Source organism: Homo sapiens, chromosome 5 (assembly GCF_000001405.40).
Source record: "Homo sapiens chromosome 5, GRCh38.p14 Primary Assembly".
NCBI classification, from domain to species: Eukaryota; Metazoa; Chordata; class Mammalia; order Primates; family Hominidae; genus Homo; species Homo sapiens.
The window spans coordinates 140,740,424-140,758,440 of NC_000005.10; the positions used below are offsets into that span (position 1 = coordinate 140,740,424).

Here is an 18,017-nt window from a genome sequence, read left to right on the forward strand (position 1 = left end):
CACCCAGGCTGGAATGCAGTGGTGCGATCATGGCTCACTGCAGCTTCCACCTCCTGGGCTCAAGCGATCCTCCTGCCTCAACCTCTCAAGAATCTGGGACCACAGGCACATACCACACGCCCAGCTAATTTTTTATTTTTAGTCGCGATGAGGTCTCACTGTGTTGCATGGGATGATCTCGAACTCCTGGGCTCAAGCCATCCTCCTACCTCGGCCTCCCAAAGTGTTGGGATTATAGGTGTGAGCCACTGTGCCTGGCCCTAACAATTCTTTGTTAGATGAATATTCATGTTAACATTTTTATGCCTTTGCAAAATATAATTCCCAGCAGAACATGGTCATATACCATGATTGTCTCCTTTTCTTCTTTCTACTTTTCCTGAAGTTAATGCTTGACTTTTCTTCATGTGCTTAGTTTTCCTTGGACCTCTTGTTAATTTTTTGCACATTCTTCAATAACTCTTAGTACAGTTTTCTATGTGGTATATCATTTCAGGTAATCAGAGAAAGTATTAATACAAAAGAGCTATAAGATACCAGAATGTTTAGGCCCAGATCCAGAGAGGAGTAATTGTTGTGGGTTATTACCTAGTAACCAGGTAACAATGAAGCTCTGGTAGCTTTAAAGACCCAAGGCTGGCATTTGGCAGTTTGGGAGGATTTCATGGGTCTGACTCATGTACTGGCTGTGAAAGTTGATTTGAGCTAAAATGACCCCGGTTTGGTCATCTGGGAAGCACTGAGGCTGGTCCAAGACTTGTGGCAGGTAGCCACTGAGTGGGAGGAGGGAGAGTGAGCCTAGACACAGCTGGGGGAACAGTTTTTAGGGAAAGGAAGACATGGGTTTCTCTCAGTGGTGTGCATCCTCAAATGGGGGCTTCCCAAGTTTGTGTGTCCTGGTCTGGAAGTTGTGGTGGGTAGAAGGAAACTTAAAACTCAGCATCGTTCTTGAACCATTCAGGCCTAGGCTGACCCTACTGCCCAGGGTATACCAACTCATGACACTTATCTGTCAAGGAACTCCAAATTCAATCTACTTTCTGCATTATCTCAGTGATATATTTGCATGCTTCTTCCTGTCTGTGTTTTGGGGGCAGGTTTGATGTCCATGGACCCTCTTTAGTCCTCTATGTATGTCCCCACCAAGCTTATCATTTTCTTGGAGATGGGAGAGAGCCCTTTTTCAAGGAGGGGTCTAAAACGGCATGGATTCCTGAGAAGACTAGGCTGGGTCAGGAGCTGAAGAGGTTTAAGGTTGGGACAGAAACTCTGGAGGTTAGCCTTGGTAAGAGTCTTTTGAGACCTACTCCATGAGTAAATCTGCTCTTCACCAAATTTCCAGATCCCCACAGTTCCTCTGAGCAGCTTCTCACTACTGTCATCTCTCCCAGATATGAACCAAATCCCTGGTTGCCAAGACAAGTTGACAAGGTTTGAAAAAGAAACTATTTTGAAACAGAACTTCAAGGAAAAATAAGAACCCATTCTCAGGCAAATCCTAGCAGCTTTGATTAGTAAAGAAACAGCAGTCCTTGTTTGATTCAGACAGTTTATTACTTACATAGACACAAAAGGAAATAAGCAGAATTTCCAGCTCTCCCACAGGACAGCACCAATACAAAAGGGGATGGCAACCTGAGTAATGAGACACCCTGTTGCTGAGGAGCTGAGTCCATTTGCAACTAAGAAGTTTATGGCTTGCAGTTCTGCCCTAAGAAAGATGAGGCAGAATGCCTCATACCTTATCAGAACCTGGGAAGTGATAAGAACTGCCTCATGACAGCCTCCCAAGAAGATAAAAAGATGAGTTGAAAGTGGCCTTGTGGTAGTTCCTCATAAGCCTGTTCCCCAAGGATCACAGAATGTCCGCCAAGACTTTGATTAATTATGGTTAAGCCTTGCCTGTATGGCCTATGTGAGTACATATAAGGTTGGCAGGTCAACGTGGCAGAGCCATGCCCCTACACCCATATACAGAAGAGAGCAAATGAACAGATAGTTGACCAGCCTGAAAAAGCAAAACAAGGGAAAAGAGAATAATAATTGTCATAATAAGTAAAAGGATAATATGCAAGGGATTTCCCCTCTTTTTCTGAGATAGCATCTTACTCTGTTGCCCAGATCTGAGTGCAATGACACAATCACAGCTCACTGCAGCCTCAACTTCCCAGGCCCAAACCATCCTCCCACCTCAGCCTCCCGAGTAGCTGGGACTACAGGCACATGCCACCATACCTGGCTAATTTTTAAGAAGTTTTTGTACAGAGGGCATCTCACTCTGTTGCCCAGGTTAGTCTCAAACTCCTGAGCTCAAGCAATCCTCTCGCCTTGGCCTTCCAAAATGTTGGGATTGCAGGCATGAGCTGCCCCATCTGGTTAAGAGTTTTTCTTTTGCCCAGGAATTTGAGCTATGCTGAAAACAGAAAGAAGTAATTCTAAGAGTAGCTTCCACCTGATTGCCAAGAGTTAGTGGCCAAGCCAGCTTTCTGATAACCAATCACGATATCACCCCCTTACCTTTCCCCAATCCCCAGTTTGTATAAAGACGGTACTAGGGAAAGGGATAGTTGTCAGAATCCTTGATAGTGGGTTGGGGGAAGGTTGTCACAGTGTGAGACCTTTCCTTTCATCTAGGGAGCCATGTGATGAGAAAGAATTCAGTAGGCCTCTGTGGAGAATGTGAGTGCCTGCAAGAAATGAAGAATGACATTTGGTACTTGGTTGGACAATTGGACTCATACATATATACATATATAATATATATATATATAATATTTTTTAAAGTCAGGAACCAATTATAGATCATGCATTGCTTTTAGTTGTCATGACATCTCTCCAGTCTCTTTAATCTAGACCAATCTCACCTGATATTCTTTTCCTTTTTGTGACAGCCAGTTTTAAAATAATTTTAAAAAGCTGTGGTAAAATCCATAATATAAAATTTACCATCTTAACCATTTTTAAGTGTACAGTTCAGTAATGTTAGGCACATTCACATTGTTGGGCAGTCAATCTTCAGGGCTGTCTTCTTGCAAAACTGAAACTCTATGCCCATTAAACAACAACTTCCCATTTTCCATCCTCCAGCTCCTGACAACCACCATTCTGTTTTCTGTCTCTGTGAATCTGACTACTCTAGGGACCTCATATCAGTGGAATCATATAGTATTTGTCATTTTGTAGTGTGATGGGATGATCTCCGCTCACTGCGACCTCCGCCTCCCGGGTTCAAGCGATTCTCCTGCCTCAGCCTCCCTAGTAGCTGGTATTACAGGCGCACACCACCATGCCCAGCTAATTTTTGTATTTTTAGTAGAGATGGCATTTTACCATGTTAGTCAGGCTGGTCTCGAGCTCCTGACCTCATGATCCACTGGCCTCAGCCTCCCAAAGTGCTGGGATTACAAGCGTGAGCCACCGTGCCCTGCCGGTAATTCTATTTTTAATTTTCTGAGAAACTGCCTTACTGTTTTCTAAAAAGGCTGCACCATTTTACATTCCCATTAATAGTGCACAAAGGTTCCAATTTCTGCACACCCCTTCCAACACTTATTTTCCCTCTCTTTCTGGTGTGAGATGATATTTATATGGTTTTAATTTGCATTTTTCTAATGATAATTGATGTTGGGTATTTTTTTTAGGTGAAAGCAAGTTTACTAAGAAAGTAAAGGAATAAAGAATGGCTATCCCCCAGGCTGAGCAGCCCCGAAGGCTGCTGGTTGCCTATTTTTATGGCTATTTCTTGATTGTATGCTAAACAAGGGGTGGATTATTCATGAGTTTTCTGGAAAAGGGGTGGGCAATTCCCAGAACTGAGGGTTTCTCCTAGTTTTAGACCATATAGAGTAACTTCCTGATGTTACCATGGCGTTTGTAAACTGTCATGGCACTAGTGGGAGTGTCTTTTAGCATGCTAATGCATTATAATTAGTATATAATGAGCAGTGAGGATGACCAAAGGTCACGTTCTTCGCCATCTTGGTTTTGGTGGGATTTGGCTGGCTTCTTTACCACACGCTGCTTTATTAACATGGTCTTTGTGACCTGTATCTTGTGCCGACCTCCTATCTCATCCTGTGACTTAGAATGTGACTGGGAATGCAACCCAGTAGGTCTCAGCCCTATTTTACCCAGCCTCCATTCAAGATGGAGTTGCTCTGATTCAAAGGCCTCTGACAGACTTCCTCCCTCCCATTTATTTATTTACTTATTTATTTAATTTGGAGACAGAGTTTTGCTCTTTTTGCCCAGGCTGGAGTGCAATGGCATGATCTCAGCTCACTGAAACCTCTGCCTCTCAGGTTCAAGTGATTCTCCTGCCTCAGCCTCCCAAGTAGCTGAAATTACAGGTGTGTGCCACCATGTCCAGCTAATTTTGTATTTTTAGTAGAGACGGGGTTTCACCACGTTGGTCAGGCTGGTCTCGAACTCCTGACCGCAAGTGATCCACTGGCCTCAGTCTCCCAAAGTGTTGGGATTATAGGTGTGAGCCACTGCACCTGGCCCCTCCCTCCCTTTTATAAGAAAACTCTTAATCCTAAGGGTTGTAGCAGGATGAAGATCCATGTTTTGTAACTTTTTCAGGCTGAATAGGGGCAATGATATTCCTGCCTAATTATTAGGGTCTCTTGTATTCAGGGTAGAGAGTAGCTCAATCAGAAAGCATCAGTATGTCAAGCACCATTCATAACCCTGAGTACTGATAAAAGGTGACATCTGGAAGATTAATAAGTGTTTAATTTGGGAAAACATTGAGTAAGCTTGTTCTGCATTCCTATGCAAAGAGCACAACACCAATATATTCCACAAAAGTAAAGCAAAATAAGTAAAGTTATCTCAAGTAAACTAAATAAGAAGGCTTTCCATAAGCTAGGCAACTGTTGGAACTGAGCTAATATGGAGTCACTAGCTGATTTCAATACATGCCCAGAATTAGAATATTGATCCACATTTTTATATCACCTATCCTTCTTGTTTCTTCTATCAGCCAGACACCACTGGTTGGTTTACAGGAATAAGCAGTCTAAATTGCAGACAAAAAACTCAAAAACAACTGATGAGACTAAAATCTGACAAAAGGTGTACCATAGTTCCTGAAACATATTTTTTCTCTCTCCAGTCTCCCATTTTTACTAAAGACAAATCATGGTAAGACCAATTTGCTTTAATATACTTGGCCTAATTATTTGTTTAAAGTGCAGCAAGAATAATTATTTGCCACATAGGCTTCTTTTAATTGGTTTTGATGGAACTCTGTTCCATAAAGAATCTCAGATAAGACTTTTTTTTTTTTTTTGAGATGGAATCTCGCCCTGTCACCCACGCTGGAGTGGAATGGTGCGACCTTGGCTCATTGCAACCTCCACCTCCCGGGATCAAGCAACTCTCCTGCCTCAGCCTCCTGAGTAGCTGGGATTACAGGTGCACGTCACCATGCCTGGCTAATTTTTTGTATCTTTAGTAGAGACAAGGTTTCACCATGTTGGCCAGGCTGGTCTTGAACTCCTGACCTCGTGATCTGCCTGCCTCGGCCTCCCAAAGTGCTGGGATTATAGGCATGAGCCACCGTGCCTGGCCTAAGTATTTTTTTTTTTTTAGATGGAGTCTCGCTCTGTCGCCCAGGCTGGAGTGCAGTGGCACCATCTTGGCTCACTGCAACCTCCGCCTCCTGGGTTCAAGCAATTCTCCTGCCTCAGCCTCCTGAGTAGCTGGGATTACAGGCGCCCACCACCATGCCTGGCTAATTTTTGTATTTTTAGTAGAGACAGGGTATCACCATGTTGGTCAGGCTTGTCTCGAGCTCCTGACGTTGTGATCCACCTGCCTTGGCCTCCCAAAGTGCTGGGATTACTGGTGTGAGCCACCGCGCCCGGCTAAGACTTTTTGTTGTTGTTGTTGTTGAGAGGGAGTTTCTCTCTGTCACCCTGGCTGGAGTGCAGTGGTGTGATCTCGGCTCACTGCAACCTCTGCCTCCCGGGTTCAAGCAATTCTTCTGCCTCAGCCTCCCAAGTAGCTGGGACTACAGATGCGCACCACCATGCCCGGCTAATTTTTGTATTTTTAGTAGAGACGGGGTTCACCATCTTGGTCAGGCTGGTGTGGTCTTGAACTCCTGAGCTCGTGATTGCTTTCCTCGGCCTCCCAAAGTGCTGGGTTTACAGGAGTGAGCCACCGCGCCCGGCCTCTCATTTTTTTTTAACAATTATATTGTACACCATTGACACTGTTCAGTAGATTCATCATATTTCATTCAGTCTCAGCTGATTACCATTGGGTTGTTTTCCAGTTATTTTATTATAAATGATGTCACAATAAATAACTTGGTGTATATAATGTTTAATATTTGTGAAGGTGTATATTTAAATTTTTAAAGATGGAATTGCTAGTTCAAAAGACAAATGCATTCATCATTCTTTGAAGATATTGCCAAATTACCTCCATTGTGGTTCTACCATGTTTTTCACTCCTACAAACAATACATGAGAATGCCTACTTTTCCACAACCTTATTAATAGAGCCTATTGTCAATTTTTCTAAATGTTTGTTCATCGGATTGATGAAAAATGATGTCTCAATGTGGTTTTAATTTGTATTCTTGTTATGGATGAAATTAAGCAAGTTATAATATGTTTAAAGCTCTTCTTTTTTGTTTTTGTTTTATACATTTACAGTACTGTACTGTATTTATCAATACTATAAATTTACAACATCTTTTTTTAGCTTATATTTTAAGTCCAGGGATACAATGCAGGTTTGTTATGTAGGCAAACTTTTGTCACAGGGGTTTATTGTACAGATTATTTCGTCACCCAGATATTAAGCCTAGAACTCATTAGTTAATTTTCCTGATCCTCTCCCTCCTCCTGTAAATCCCGGTGTCTTTTGTTCACCTCTATGTGCCCATATGTTCTCATCATTTAGCTCCCACTTAGAAGTAGGAACATGCAGTATTTGATTCTCCATTCCTGCATAAGTTTGCTAAGGATAATGGGCTCCAGCTCCATCCATGTTCCTGCAAAAATATGATTTCATTGTTTTTTATGGCTGCATAGTATTCCATGGTGTGTATATGTACTACATTTTCTTTATCCAGTCTACCATTGATGAGCATTTAGGTTGATTCCATGTCTTTGCTATTGTGAGTAGTTCTGCAGTAAATATGCATGTGTCTTTATGATAGAACAATTTATATTCCTTTGGGTATATACCCAGTAAAGGGATTGCTGGGTCAAATGGTAGTTCTGTTTTTAGCTCTTTGAGGAATTACTACACTGTTTTCCACAATGATTGAACTAATTTACACTTCTACCAACAGTGTGTAAGTGTTCTGTCTTCTCTGCAATCTCACCAGCATTTGTTATTTTTTCACTTTTTTTTTTTTTTAAGACAGGGTCTCATTCTGTTTCCAGGCTGGAGTGCAGTGGCATGATCACAGCTCACTGCAGCCTTGACCTCCCAGACTCAAGTGATCCTCCTGCCTCAGCCTTCTGAGTAGCTGGGACTGTAGGCGGGTGCCACCACACTGGCTAATTTTTGTATTTTTTTTATACAGATGGGGTCTTGCCATGTTGTCCAGGCTGGTCTCAAACTCCTGGGCTCAAGTGATCCTCCCTCCTTGGGGCCTCCCAAAGTGCTGGGATTACAGGCATGAGCCACTGCGTCTGGCCTATTGTTTGACTTTTTAGTAATAACCATTCTGACTTGTGTGAGATGGTATCTCATTGTGGCTTTAATTTGCATTTCTCTAATGATCAGTGATGTTGAGCTTTTTTTCATATGCTTGCTGGCCATATGTATATCTTCCTTTAAAAGGTGTCCATTCATGTCCTTTGTCCACTTTTTAATGGTGTTTTTTTCTCTTGTAAATTTAAGTTCCTTATAGATGATGGATATTAGACCTTTATCAGATGTATAGTTTGCAAAAATTTTCTGCCATCCTGTATGTTGTCTGTTTACTCTGTTAATAGTTTCTTTTGCTGTGCAGAGGTTCTTTAATTAGATCCCATTGGCCAAGTTTTGCTTTTTTTGTGAATGTTTTTGGCATCTTTGTCATGAAATCTTTGCCAGTTCCTCCATCCAGAATAGTTTTGCCTAGGTTATCTTCTAGTTTATAGTTTTGGGTTTTACATTTAAGTCTTTAATCCATCTTGAGTTGATTTTTGTATATGGTGTAAGGAAGGGGTCCAGTTTCAATCTTTTGCATATGGCTAGCCAGTTATCCCAGCATCATTTGTTGAATTGCTTGTTTTTCTCAGCTTTTCCCATTGCTTGCTTTTGTCAGCTTTGTCGAAGATCAGATGGTTGTAGGTGTGTGGCCTTATTTCTGTGCTCTCTGTTATGTTCCATCGGTCTATGTGTCTGTTTTTGTACCAGTTCCATGCTGTTTTGGTTACTATAGCCCTGTAGTATAGTCTGAAGTCAAGAAGTGTGATGCTTCCTGCTTTGTTCTTTTTGCTTGGGATTGCCTTGGCTATTCAGCCTCTTTTTTGGTTCCATATGAATTTTAAAATAGTTTTTTTTCTAGTTCTGTGAACAATGTCATTGGTAGTTGATAGAAATAGCATTCAGTCTATAAAATGCTTTGGGCAGTGTGGCCATTTTAATGATATTGATTCTTCCTATCCATGAGCATGACCATGGTATGTTTTTCCATTTGTTTGTGTCATCTCTGATTTCTTTGAGCAGTGTTTTATAGTTCTCCTTGTAGAGATCTTTCACCTCACTGGTTAGCTGCATTTCTGGGTATTTTATTCTTTTTGTGGCAATTGTGAATGGGACTGCATTCCTGATTTGGCTCTTTGCTTGGCTGTTGTTGGTGTATAGGAATGCTAGTGATTCTTGTACATTGATTTTGTATCCTGAAACTTTGCTGAAGTTATCAGCTGAAGGAGCTTTTGTGCCTAGACTATGGGGTTTTCTAGATACTGGATCATGTCATCTGCAACAGGGATAGTTTTGACTTCTTCTCTTCCTATTTGGATGCCTTTTATTTCTTTCTCTTGCCTGATTGCCCTGGCCAGGACTTCCAATACTATTTTGAAAAGAAGTGGGGAGAGAGGACATCCTTGTCTTGTGCCAGTTCTCAAGAGGAATGCTTCCAGATTTTGCCCATTCAGTATGATGTTGGCTGTGGGTTTGTCATAGATGGCTCTTATTATTTGAGATATGTTTCTTCACTACCTAGTTTACTGAGAGCTTTTAGCATACAGTTGAGTTGAAATTTATCACCTTTTTTGCATCTATTGAAATAATCATGTGGTTTTTGTCTTTAGTTCTGTTTATGTGATGAATCACATTTATTGATTTTCATGTGTTGAACCAACCTTGCATCCTAGGAATAAAGCCTATTTGGTCATGGTGGATAAACTTTCTGATATGCTACTGGATTCAGTTTGCCAGTATTTTGTTGAGGAGTTTTGCACTGATGCTCATCACAGATATTGTGCTGAAGTTTTCTTTTTGTGTGTGTGTGTCTCTGCCAGGTTTTGGTATCAGAATGATGCTGGCCTCTTAGAATGAGTTAGGGAGAAATCCCTCCTCCTCAATTTTTTGGAATAGTTTCAGTAGGAATAGTACCAGCTCTTGTTTGTACTTCTGGTAGAGTTCAGCTGTGAATCCATCTGGTCTTGGGATTGTTTTTGGATAGGGTACTTATTACTGATTCAATTTCAGAGCTCATAATTAGTCTGTTCAGGGATTCAGTTTCTTCCTGGTTCATTCTTGGGAGGGTGTATATATCCAGGAATATATCCATTTCTTCTAGATTTTCTAGTTTGTGTGCATAGAGGCATTCATAATATTCTCTGATGGTTATTTGTATTTCTGGGGGGTCAGTGGTAATACCCGCTTTGTCCTTTCTAATTGTGTTTATTTGGATCTTCTCTCTTTTCTTCTTTATTAGTCAAGCTAGTGGCCTGTCTTATTAATTTTTTCAAAAAAGCCAACTTCTGGATTCATTGTTCTTTTCTTGTTGTTTATTCAATGATCTTTTGAATGGTTTTTTGTGTCTCAATATCCTTCAGTTCAACTCTGATTTTGGTTACTTCTTGTTTTCTGCTAGTTTTGGGGTTGGTTTGCTCCTAGTACTGTAGTTCTTTTTTTTTTTTTTTTTTTTGAGTTGGAGTCTCACTCTGTCACCCAGGCTGGAGTGCAATGGCAGTCTTGGCTCACTGCAACCTCCACCTCCCGAGTTCGTGTGATTCTCATGCCTCAGCTTCCTGAGTAGCTGGGATTACAGGCTCACACCACCATGCCCGGCTAATTTTTGTATTTTTAGTAGGGATAGGGTTTTGTCATGTTAGCCAGGCTGGTCTCAAATACCTGACCTCAAGTAATCCACCCGCCTCAGCCTCCCAAAGTGCTGGAGTTGCAGGCATGGACCACTGTGCCCAGCCAAGACCTGTCTAACTTTTTGATGTGGGCATTTAGTGCTATAAATTTTCCTCTTAACACTGCCTAGCTGTGTCCCAGAGATTCTGGTATGCTGTAACTTTGTTCTCTTTGGTTTCAAAGAACATCTTGATTTCTGCCTTAATTTCATTATTTAACCAAAAGTCATTTATGAGCAGTTTGTTTAATTTTCATGAAATTGTATGGTTTTGAGCTAGTTTCTTAGTCTTCATTTCTAATTTTATTGCATTGTGGTTGGTATAAGAGTAGTTGGTATAATGTCAGTTCTTTTGCATTTGCTGAGGATTGGTTTACATCTAATTGTATGGTTGATTTTAGAGTACGTGCCATGTGACAATGAGAAGAATGTATATTCTGTTGTTTTTGGATGGAGAGTTCCTTAGATGTCTATCAGGTCCATTTGATCCAGTGCTGAGTTCAGGTCCTGAATAGCTTTGTTAATTTTCTGACTTGATGCTTAGTCTAGTACTGTCAGCGGGGTGTTGAAGTCTCTCACTATTATTGTGTGGGAGTCTGAGTCTCTTTGAAGGTCCCTAAGAACTTGCTTTATGAATCTGGATGCTCCTGTGTTGTGTGCATACATATTTGGGTAGATCTTCTTATTGAATCTTTTACCAAAATATAACGCCTTTCTTTGTCTTTTTTGATCTTTGTTGGTTTAAAGTCTGTTTTGTATGAGATTAGGACTGTAACCCCTGCTTTTATCTGATTCCATTTGCTTGGTAGATTTTCCTCCATCTCTTTATTTTGAGCCTACGGATGTTATTGTGTGTGAGATGGTCAGATGAAGACAGCATACCTTTAGGTATTGCTTTTTTATCCAGCTTGCCACTCTGTTCCTTCAATTGGGGCATTTAGCCCATTTATATTCAAGGTTAGTATTGATATGTGTGGATTTGATCCTGTCATCATGTTAGCTGGTTATTATAGATACTTGTTTGTGTGGTTGCTTTACAATGTTACTGGCCTGTGTACATGAGTGTGTTTTTGTAGTGGTTGGTAATGGTCTTTCTTTTCCATATTTAGTGCTTCCTTCAGGAGCTCTTGTAAGGCAGGTCTGGTGGTAACGAATTCCCTTAGCATTTGCTTGTATGTAAAGGATCTTACTTATGTTTCGCTTATGAAGCTTAGTTTAGGTGGATATGATATTCTTGGTTGGAATTTCTTTTCTTTAAGGATGTTGAATATTGGCTCCCAATCTCTTCTGGCTTGTAGGGTTTCTGCTAAGAGGTCCACTGTTAGTCTTATGGGCTTCCCTTTGTAGGTGACCTGACCTTTTTCTCTAACTGCTTTTAACATCTTTTCTTTCACTTCAACCTTGGGGAATATGATGATTATGTGTTTTGGGGATTATCTTCTTATGAACTATCTTTATTGGGGTTCTCTCATTTCCTGAATTTGAATGTTGGCCTCTCTAGTTAGGTTGGGGAAGTTCTCATGGATGATATCCTGAAATATGTTTTCCAAGTTGGTTCCATTCTTCCCATCTCTTTCAGGGACACCAATACATCATAGCTTTGGTTTCTTTACATAACCCCATATTTCTTAGAGGTCTTCGTCTTCCTTTTCATTCTTTTTTTATTGATTACTGTCTGACTGTCTTATTTCAGAAAGCTAGTCTTTAAGCTCTGACATTCTTTCCTCAGCTTGGCCTGTTCTGCTATTAATACTTGCAATTGCACTATGAAATTCTTTTTTTTTTTAAATTCTTATAGTGTGTTTTTTTAGCTGTCATGTTGGTTATGTTCTTTTCTATACTGGCTATTTTGTCTGGCAGCTTCTGCATTGTTTTATTGTGATTCTTAGCTTCTGTGGATTGTGTTTCAATGTAGTCCTGCATCTTGATTATCTTCATTCCTATCCGTATTCTGAATTCTGTTTCCATCATTTCAGTCATTTCAGCCTCTTTCAGAACTCTTGCTGGAGAGTTAGTGCAGTCGTTTGGAGGAATAAAGGCATTCTCACTTGTTGAGTTGTCAGATCTTGTGCTGGTTCTTTCTCATCTTTGTGGGCTGATGTTTCTTCAATCTTTGAAGTTGCTGTCCTTTGATGGGTTTTTTCTTTTATCCCATTTGATGACCTCAAGGGTTTGATTGTGGTATAAGGTGGGTTCAGTTGACCGGCTTTGTCTCTGGAAGATTTCAGGGGGCCAAGGCTCAGCTCACAACTCCTGGACTACGTGCTCTAACTCTAGGGGACCAATACTGGACCCCAACTTTGTTTTCTGGCTCCTTGAGGTTAGGAACTCACTGCACTGGGTAGACTGAGGTGCTCCTGCATCTTTGGTTTCAGCATTCCTACAGGTGGTGACAGTCAAAGCATTTCATAAGGCAGTGGCAGCGGGGTCCATCCTCATTTGCATGTGCCAGAAGCAGCATGGCAGGGTACATGCTTATTGGCTGTAGCCTGGTGCTCATGGGTGTTCGGGCATTCATAACAGTGGCAGAGACAGCATGGCTCAGGGGTTGGGGTCCCTGCTGGTGACTGACTGCGTGTGTGGTTTGCTGGTGGTGGTGTTAGCATGGGGGCAAGGTGCTGGCAGGTGCAGGACTGTGTGCACCTTCTGTGTGTTTTCATGTAGGTGGAGGTGGTCACTTAGGGCAGTGGAGGGTCCACTCTTCTCTGCCTAGTTTCACTCTGGTGACAATGTTGGTGCTGGGGCAGGGTGCTGGTGGTGGCTGGGCTGCACTCTGACTACAGTGGAAGTATGATGGGGGAGGTGGTGGAGTGGACTGCACTTACCCCAGCAGCAGTGGCAGCAGAGGGTTCATGGGCACACACATGCTGGTAGGACAGGGAAGGTAAAATCCACCCATGCACATATACTCCAGCAATATAGGGGTGGTTGTGGGCCTGGAGTGAGGGGAGGGAGTGGGTGGGCTGGTGCAGTCTGCCAGCGCAGGAGCTATGATGCAGCCCCCCGAGGGCACTCGAGGCTGCATTGCAAGCAGGTGCAGCCAGGCTGGGGCCCTGCGAGAGGTCAGCAGGCAAAGGGGTGCTCACGTCAGACTGGCCTCATTTGGTGGGCAAGACTGCCCTGAGAGCTCATGTCCAACAGTTCCCCTAGGGCTAAAGTCTCTTATGGGAGCAAATCAAGCCTAGGGGGATGGGCATCCCTGATTATGCTTCACTACAGACATTACCACAACAAACCCTCTGGGCTCTGCACCAGCTGGAGTGCTTCCCCTACCACTTCTCTAAGCAGCTCTCCCTGCCAACTCAAGTGTCCATGGTGGTTGAGGGGTCTCCTCCTGCCCAGATTCCAGAGGCATGTGGTGAGGGCAGGTTGCTCCTTTCCAGTTCAACTTGCTCCTTCCCCTGGAGTAATTGGGGGCTTTTTTTCAGGTTTGATATCGGAGTAATGCTGGCCTCGCAGAATGAGTTTGAATGTATTCTCTCCTCTTTAGTATTTTGAAATATTTTGAGAATAATTGGTATTCTTCTTCTTTTTTTTTTTTTTTTTTTTTGGGACAGAGTCTTGCACTATCTCCCAGGCTGGAGTGCAGTGGTGCGATCTCGGCTCACTGCAAGCTCAGCCTCCCAGGTTCACGCCGTTCTCCTGCCTCAGCCTCCCGAGTAGCGGGGACTACAGGCGCCCGCCATCACGCCCGGCTAATTTTTTGTATTTTTAGTAGAGACGGGATCTCACCGTGTTAGCCAGGATGGTCTCGATTTCCTGACCTCGTGATCCACCCGCCTTGGACTCCCAAAGTGCTGGGATTACAGGCATGAGCCGCCGCGCCCGGTTTTTATTCTTCTTTAAATGTTGGTAGAATTCAGTAGTGAAACTACCAGGTATTGGGCTTTTCTTTGATGGGAGACTTTTTATTACTGATTCGATGTCCTTACTCATTATTGGTCTCTTGAAATTTTTTTATAACTTCATAATTCAATCTTAGTAGGTTGTATGTGTCCAGGAATTTATCTGTTTCTTCTAGGTTATTCCATTTGTTGGTGTAAAATTGTATAATAATGTCTTATGATCCTTTTTATTTCTGTGGTATCAGTTATAATGTCTCCTTTTTCATTATTGTTTTGTTTGTCTTCTCTCTATTTTCCTTAGGTAGTTTAGCTAACTGTTGGCTGGTTTTATTTTTTCTCAAAACACCAACTCTTAATTTTGTTGCTCTTTTGTATTTTTTTCAAGCCTCTATTTCATTTATTTATATGCTGATATTTTTTAGACGAGGCCTCACTCTGTCACCCAGGCTGGAATGCAGTGGTGTGATGTTGGCTCACTGCAACGTCTACTACCCAGGCTCAAGAGTTCCTCCCACCTCAGCCTCTTGAGCAGCTGAAACCACAGGCACCTGCCACCACGCCTGGCTATTTTTTTTTTTCATTTTTGGAAGAGATGGTGTTTCACCATGTTGCCCAGGCTGGTCTTGAACTCCTGTGCTCAAGTCATCCATATACCTCAGCCTCCCAAAGTGCTGGGATTACAGGCGTGAGCCACCTCATCTCACCTAAATTATGACCTTTATTACTTCCTTCTCCTAATTTTAGATTTAGTTTGTTCTTGTATTTCCAGTTCCTTGAGGTATAATGTTGGATTCTTTATTTGAAACCTTTCTTCTTTTTGAATGTAGGTGTTTATAGCTATAAACTTTTCTCTGAGAACTGCTTTTGCTGTATCCCATAAGTTTTGGTGCATTGTGTTTCCATTTCTATTTGTCCAAAAGGGATATTTAAATGTCTTTTAATTTCTTCATTGACTCATTGGTTTTTCAGGAGCATATTTACTCTCTATGAATGTATAAAGTTTCTGAAGTTCCTTCTGTTATTGATTTTTAGTTTTATATCATTGTGGTCAGAAGAGACAATTGATATGATTTCAATCTAAAATTTGTCAAGGCTTGTTTTGTGGCCTAACATATTATCTATTCTGTTAAATATTTTATGTACAGTTGAGAAGAATGTGTATTCTGCAGCTGTTGGATGGAATGTTCTGTAAATGTCTGCTAGGTCCATTTGGTCTACAGTGCAGTTTAAATCTGAAGTTTCTTTGTTGATTTTCTGTCTGGATGACCTGTCCATTGCTGAAAATGGATAGCAAATCCCCCTAATATCATTGTATTGCAGTCTTGTTCTCCCTTTAGATCTATTAATATTCGCTTTATATATTTAGGTGTTCCAATATTGGATGCTTTTGTATTTACAATTGTTATATCCTCTTGCTGAATTGAACTTTTATTATTATATAATGACTTTCATTGTCTCTTTTTAGAGTTTTTGACTTAAAGTTTATTTTATCTGATGTAAGTACAGCTATTCTTGCTCTCTTACAGTCTCCATTTGCATGGAAATTCTTTTTTTTTTTTTTTTTTGAGACAGAGTCTTGCTCTGTCGCCCAGGCTGAAGTGCAGTGGCATGAAATTATATTCATTAAGGTGAAGATAAAATGTGCTTTGGCATAATGAAAGAGTAGAACAGATTAAGAGAATCAGAAATCTGTGAGAGATGGGATGAATGTCACAATATTAAAGAGCTATATAGAATAATCAGGATAGACTTCATTAAGAAATTATATCTAACTTGAAGGATGTGAGGGAGTTAGCCAAGCTGTTTTCTTGGGGTAAAACATTTAAGGCAGAGGGAAAAACTACAGCAAATGCCCTAAGGAAGAAGAATGCTTATTGTGTTCAAGGAGTAGCAGAGACGTCTGTGTGCTTGGATCAGAGAGATAATAATTATTAGGAGGAAATGAGGCCAAGGTGGTAATAAAAGAAACAGATAACTTGGGTTTTCTTTGTCACTGTAAGTCTTTGCTTTCCTGAGGGAAATAGGAAGCTAGAGCTACTCTTTTTGGCACAGGAGTGATGTGGCTAAAGGATTACTCTGGCTGCCATATTAGAAATATGATGTAGGAGGAAAGGGTAAAAGCAGGAGGATACAATAAGAGCTATTTCAGTGACCTCAATGAAAGGTTATAATAATTTTGACCAGGGTGGCAGCGGTGGGGAAAATAAAATAATCAGATTATGAATATTTTTTCAAATGTTGAAAAATATCAAACCCATGGAAAACTTACAAAAACAGGACAATGAACGTTTATATAGTTGGTGAATCTAAGCTACCATTTGCCACATTCTTTCTCTCTCTCACTATGTATATTCATTTGGAGATATATGGAATAGATCTGTATCTATTTATATCTATCTATAGATACACACACACACTCACACACAGAGAAAGACTGTGTATGGTAAAATGTTAATTGTTAAATGCTTTTTACAATGTTAAAAGAATTTTACAGCTATTAAATCCTTTTACCTCATATTGAAACACTTCAGCATGTAACTCTCAAGAACAAGAATATACACCTCAAAATGGCAGCATGATGATTAAATTAGAATATTTAATCTTATTATAATTTGACTATCTAATATGCTGCCCATATTAAAGTTTCACAGATTTTCCAAATAATATATTTGATGGAATTTTTTTCTCTGACTTAGAATCACACATTGCACTTAGTTCCTAGGTCTGTTTAGCCCTATTTAATCTGAAATGGTTCTTAGCTTTTCTTTATTTTTGAAGATATTAACAAATTTTAAAGGGTACAAAAACCAATAGTTTTATAGAACGATCCTGAGTTTTAGCTTGTCTGATTATTTCCTTATAATCGCAGCAGAAATTAATATTATGACTTCTCAGTATAGCACATTGGAAGATACATAATGTCAGTTTGTCTCATTATTGGTGATGTAACTTGATTAGTGTTATGTTCACCAAGTTTCTCAACTGCAAATATACCATTTTTTCCTTGTAATTAATAACTAATTTGTAGGGAGATACATTGAAACTAATCACCAATAAGCTTTTACCCCAATGTTTTAGTATTTGTTGAAGATTCTTGTCTGAATCAATTATTCCTATGATGATTAAAAAATAGTAACTTTCAAATGGTCATTTATTCTACATGTATTAATTGGCATTCTTCTGTAAAAAATGTTCCCATTTCCCCTACCCCTGTTTAAGCCATATTTACATCTGTTCATATTAATGTATTCATTAGTATCCATTATTAGTCATTATTATATGGATTCTGTTTTATGCATTTTGTTATAATGCATTACTGTCATTATTCACTGTGGTATTCAAACTGTATCATATTTTTCCAGTGGGAGACCCTTCACATGTTTCCTGTGGTGTTTTTACAAGTATTCCCATAATTTTTGAGCAGTTTCTTACTTTCTGAAGAAAAAACAGATATTCGTTTCTTCTTGCACTTTTGTCACCACTATCCTGAGGTGAGTAATTTCTCCCAAAAGCCCTGTTTCCTTTTAGTGACGAGTGGTATTTATAATCTATATGTACTATTAATATACAGCCTTAGTGCCTAGCACATAAGAAGTGCTTAATACATACTCTTGAATACACAATTATAATGAGATTTATGTATTTGTTTTTGCCTTATGTTTGAAGTTTCATTTTAAAAGTCCTTTCTTGCCCCTATGTTTTAAAGGTATCACCCTATATTTCCTTCTATCAACATTATTGCTTTACCTCCATATTGTGTTTAATCTACTTGGAGTCCACCTTTGATTATTATGGTGTATACACACACATACCACACACACACACACACACACACACACCCCATA

The 18,017-nt window shown here is 40.4% G+C and overlaps 1 long non-coding RNA gene across 1 annotated transcript in view; it reads left to right on the forward strand.

The window, feature by feature from the left end:
• The window catches only part of LOC105378198 (uncharacterized), a 46,805-nt gene extending 29,148 nt beyond the window's left edge, over positions 1 to 17,657 (forward strand). The window contains exon 4 of the long non-coding RNA XR_001742904.2: positions 17,535 to 17,657. This is a non-coding gene — a long non-coding RNA (uncharacterized LOC105378198). The remainder of the gene's footprint in view (positions 1 to 17,534) is intronic.